Source organism: Homo sapiens, chromosome 12 (assembly GCF_000001405.40).
Source record: "Homo sapiens chromosome 12, GRCh38.p14 Primary Assembly".
NCBI lineage: Eukaryota > Metazoa > Chordata > Mammalia > Primates > Hominidae > Homo > Homo sapiens.
The window spans coordinates 5,047,298-5,051,429 of record NC_000012.12 but is presented as its reverse complement, the minus strand read 5'-3'; the positions used below and the strand labels follow the sequence as shown (position 1 = coordinate 5,051,429).

The window sequence follows — 4,132 nt, the reverse complement described above, 5'->3', positions numbered from 1 at the left end:
CTTGCTAGTTATTCTCAGAGTCTAGCACGGTGCCTGCCTCATAGTAAATATCTGTTAAATGACTTGAACAAATGAATGAATGATAGTACTAAGTACGCTGGAATTGCAATGCTTCCATTTTCCCCCCTAGATAGTGAGATGCTTCTTTGGGGGGCCCTGTTCATTGCTATGCCACATTTCCATTGCCTATACTGCCTTGAAATTTGAAATAAACACAAGTTGAAATTAGTAACATCAAATCAGAGGAGGCAAATCAGGGCTTCAAAGGCAGCTTGGATACAGATAAACTGACATGGCAGGGATGTGCCTCAGGAAGGAGTGTAGGTAGGGCAGCTGAATGAGAACTGGGAGGCTTTCATGCAGAAGACATGGAGTGGAATTACTGGGAGGAATCAAGCCTAGGAGTCAGGGAAAACAATGCCAATCCTGCCTTAATTGGAGGCGGGACCTTGGGTGAGTTACCTCTTCTCTCTGAGCCTTGCTTTGTTCATCTGTGAAACGAACAGGACAGACCAGATTATTTGTAAGGTTCCTTCTAGTGGAAACATCCCTTGGAGGAAAATTTGATGCTAGAAAATAAATGACAAGTAAAAGAGAAGGTAACAGGCATCTTCCTCTGTCTGGAGGTCTGTGGTCTGGAGTTGAGTCACTCCAGGCTGGGCTACCCTGGCCCCAGACCCATGCACACTGCTACATGAGTAGACACTGCTATACCTGTGCGTACCATACACACACCATGTGCACACAGAGGCCACCCGGCCCAGGGCTTACCTGTATAGCCAGAGAAGAACCAGCTAAGGAGGGTGGGGCAGGTGAAATGCCCCCTCCAGAAAAAGTCTAAGGCCAGCAGGAGAAAGAGGCCTATGCTCTGGTGGTGGGGGTCCACTTCCACCAACAGCTCAGCGAAAAACACACTGGCCAGAGTCATAGGCAGAATTCCCAGTTTGGCATCTTATTTCTCTTCCCTGAAAATAGAGCAGTCTGTCCCACAGACACATAGAAAAAAAAATCTAAATTTTATGAGGCGGTAGAAGCAAGCTAAATCTTTCTTCCCAGGTCTACCGTGGGCTAGGAAATGCCAGCATGCGACCTCCTCCCCAAACCAAAGATTGGCATTTGCAATAAACGCAAGTTGAACTGAGCAAAGTCAGATCAGGGGAGACAGATCAGGGCTTCGCAGGCATGACTGGATACCCAGGAGGCAGCCTCTGTGTGACTGATTAACTGGTGAACTGACGTGACAGGGATGTACAGCTCTGGAGCTGAGGCTAAGTGTTCACATTTTTAAAAGATTACATTGTATATGGTTATATAAGTAGCTACACAATAGCCTCAATTTTGCCTCTTGGCCTACAAAGCCTAGAATATTTACTTTCTGGCTCTTTCAGAAATGTTGCCAACCCCTCCCCTGAACAATTGCCGCATCCCCCAGCTACTGGTAAAATTGGAGCTCCTACTACAGTCACCGATCTTGAACTCTGGACTCTATCCCAGAAGACAGTGATGGGGACACAGCAGCGATTCTCCTCAGAGCCACTGCCCTCCCTGTCCTCATCCGGCATGCCCTCCTTTCTTCCCAGCCTCACTGCAGGGCCTGCAGCAGCTTTTCTCTTCTACACTCACCCTCACTGATTCTCTCACTCCCACTTCTGTTCCACATAGCTCCATTTTGGAACCCCCTTCAAGGTACATGGACACACATTATCTTGCATGACTTGCTTTTGCTTTATACCTGTGAGACTTCAGCTATATGAAGGCAGGAATCACATCCTAATATTTTTCCCAGTATGTCCTTCCACACGCAGGAGAGTGCTGGGCCCAGAGTAGCTGCTGAGTAGATCTGTGCCACTGAGGTCAAACAAGAGAAGAACGCTTGTTCCTCACCCAGGGTCAATATCCACTGTGCACAAATCTGCCACTTCTGGAGGGGACTTGAAGAAAGGTGTCCCTGCACCAAGAGAAACACTCTGTGTCATGCTAAGCCTGGGAGTGCTTTCATCATTCACGCGAAAATAACACAAATCCCAACTCTCTGGAAAAACTCCGCCAGGGCTCCTTGTCTGTTTCATTCTCTCACCTAGGGGACGTCCCCAGCAGGGCAAGATGAGGAACTGAGACTTTTTTTTTTTTTTTTTTTTTTTTTGAGACGGAGTCTCGCTCTGTCGCCCAGGCCAGACTGCGGACTGCAGTGGCGCGATCTCGGCTCACTGCAAGCTCCTCTTCCCGGGTTCACGCCATTCTCCTGCCTCAGCCTCCCGAGTAGCTGGGACTACAGGCGCCCGCCACCGCGCCCGGCTAATTTTTTGTATTTTTAGTAGAGACGGGGTTTCACCTTGTTAGCCAGGATGGTCTCGGTCTCCTGACCTCATGATCCACCCGCCTCGGCCTCCCAAAGTGCTGGGATTACAGGCGTGGGCCACCGCGCCCGGCCGGAACTGAGACTTTTAAAGCATGTGAATTTTTTTTTTCCTGAACCTGTAATTATCTAAGGTTTAGCAAGCATTTAGGGCAGGAGAAGAAAAAAAGTGGGCAGTAAAGAAGAAGGAGCCAGATGTTTTGCTGTCCTTACACCCAACTGCAGCCTGCTTTCTGGGCCTTGGTTGCCAAAGCTGGTAGATTATAAACTCAGGAGTGGTCTCCTCCCATGGGAACCAAGAAGAAACATCTGGATAAAAGGCTTGGCAGAGGCTCCTTGATTTAATCTCCTCAGGAAGGTAAAGGCTATGGAAATCATAACAGCAGAGAAGCTGGGGAGGGTGGGAGGGGACAGGAAAGGGCTCTTTACCTCAGGTAGCCTGGGGAAGAGTCTTGACTCTCAGAGCCCTTCCCTGCTAATTACATCAAAAGGCAAAGCAGGTTGGCTGGAGTGCAATAGTGGAGGCTGTTTCCAGAATCACAGAAACAGGTGCACTGAGAATATGGCGAGACGGAAATACTCTGAACTGCCTAGTGGGTGCCCCCCCAACCAGTGCTCCAGGACAGATCTCACACATCACTGGTCCCCAGGACTGAAGGCTACAACAGGGAACTGAGATGCTGGACTCCAGGGTTCCCTCTGGAATCACTCTGGTCCCTTTTGGAAACCCGCTTCACAATATCCTCCCCCCAAAAAAAAAATTACAGGGAGCCTCACTCTCTCACTCCCTCCTCTCTATCCTTGAGGATTTCTACAAGATTATGCCCGTTTACTGGACATTTTAAAGATGCAGTCCATTCTAATTGAACCAACATCTTGTCAGGCACCTGGACACATGGAAGCCTGGACATGGAAGCCTGGGGGGCTTCTCTCTCGGTATTTGCTTGAGCCTAAAGGAATAAACCTTCAGGTCAAAGGTGGTGACATCGCTTGTTTTTAAGGAAAGCTGGAGCCCTAAGGGTGATTTCCCCGTCCCAATCACTAGGTGTGTGCTAAACTGCAAACATTAGCTTTAAAGGCAGAGAGGGCTTGGAGGTGAGACCGTGTACAGTTGAGCTCTGGCAAGATGCCCTGCTTTTAGGCAGATTGTAAATTATAAATAAATAAAGTGTCTCTGTTCTTCTTCCTTTGCCTTAGCATGCAATGAAAATCAACAGAGCCCTGTCTGCACAATCCTTCTGTTTCCTCCTCAGATTTGGTGTTAAAAGCTTCTGGCTAGAAATGACTTTGGGCACTCGCAGACCCCGGCTTTCCTTACCGTGCTGGCCATTTTATTTAAACCCACAATTCCCAGGCATTGACTTATAGATCTCCTCTCACCCACAGGGAGACCTGACCACACCCTGAGAACTAGCCGTGAAGCCCACTGTTGTCCTGGGGGAGGTGTGATTCCAGCCCACCAGCCCACCCTGGTGAGGATGTAAAACAGCCCCAGCTTTGGATCATTCAGCAGAAAAAGCAACAGCAGGAATCCGTGGGGCTCCGGATTCCTATCAGCAGATAGCTAATCCCAGAGAGAAATGCTAGCTAGTGTTATGCCAACTGCAATGTTTTGCCGCAGCCTTCCAGTGACAAGGGAACAAGGAGATTTGTTCTGAGTTTAGGGATTACTTGGGGGCAAGGCCACAATCTGCAGAAAACAGCTCTTAATGTGAACAAGCAAATCCTTCCATTTGGCCTCTCACTGTTGCTGTTGCCATAAAGACATTACGTGCT

At 48.7% G+C, this 4,132-nt stretch overlaps 2 annotated features.

Moving 5' to 3' along the window:
* Nucleotides 1,619–1,738: an enhancer, noted in NCBI's record as "active region_5839". NCBI's record gives its function as "activates an Ori minimal core promoter by ATAC-STARR-seq in GM12878 lymphoblastoid cells {active_cell/tissue: GM12878}" and the evidence as "EXISTENCE:reporter gene assay evidence [ECO:0000049][PMID:35858748]".
* Nucleotides 1,829–1,878: an enhancer, noted in NCBI's record as "active region_5838". NCBI's record gives its function as "activates an Ori minimal core promoter by ATAC-STARR-seq in GM12878 lymphoblastoid cells {active_cell/tissue: GM12878}" and the evidence as "EXISTENCE:reporter gene assay evidence [ECO:0000049][PMID:35858748]".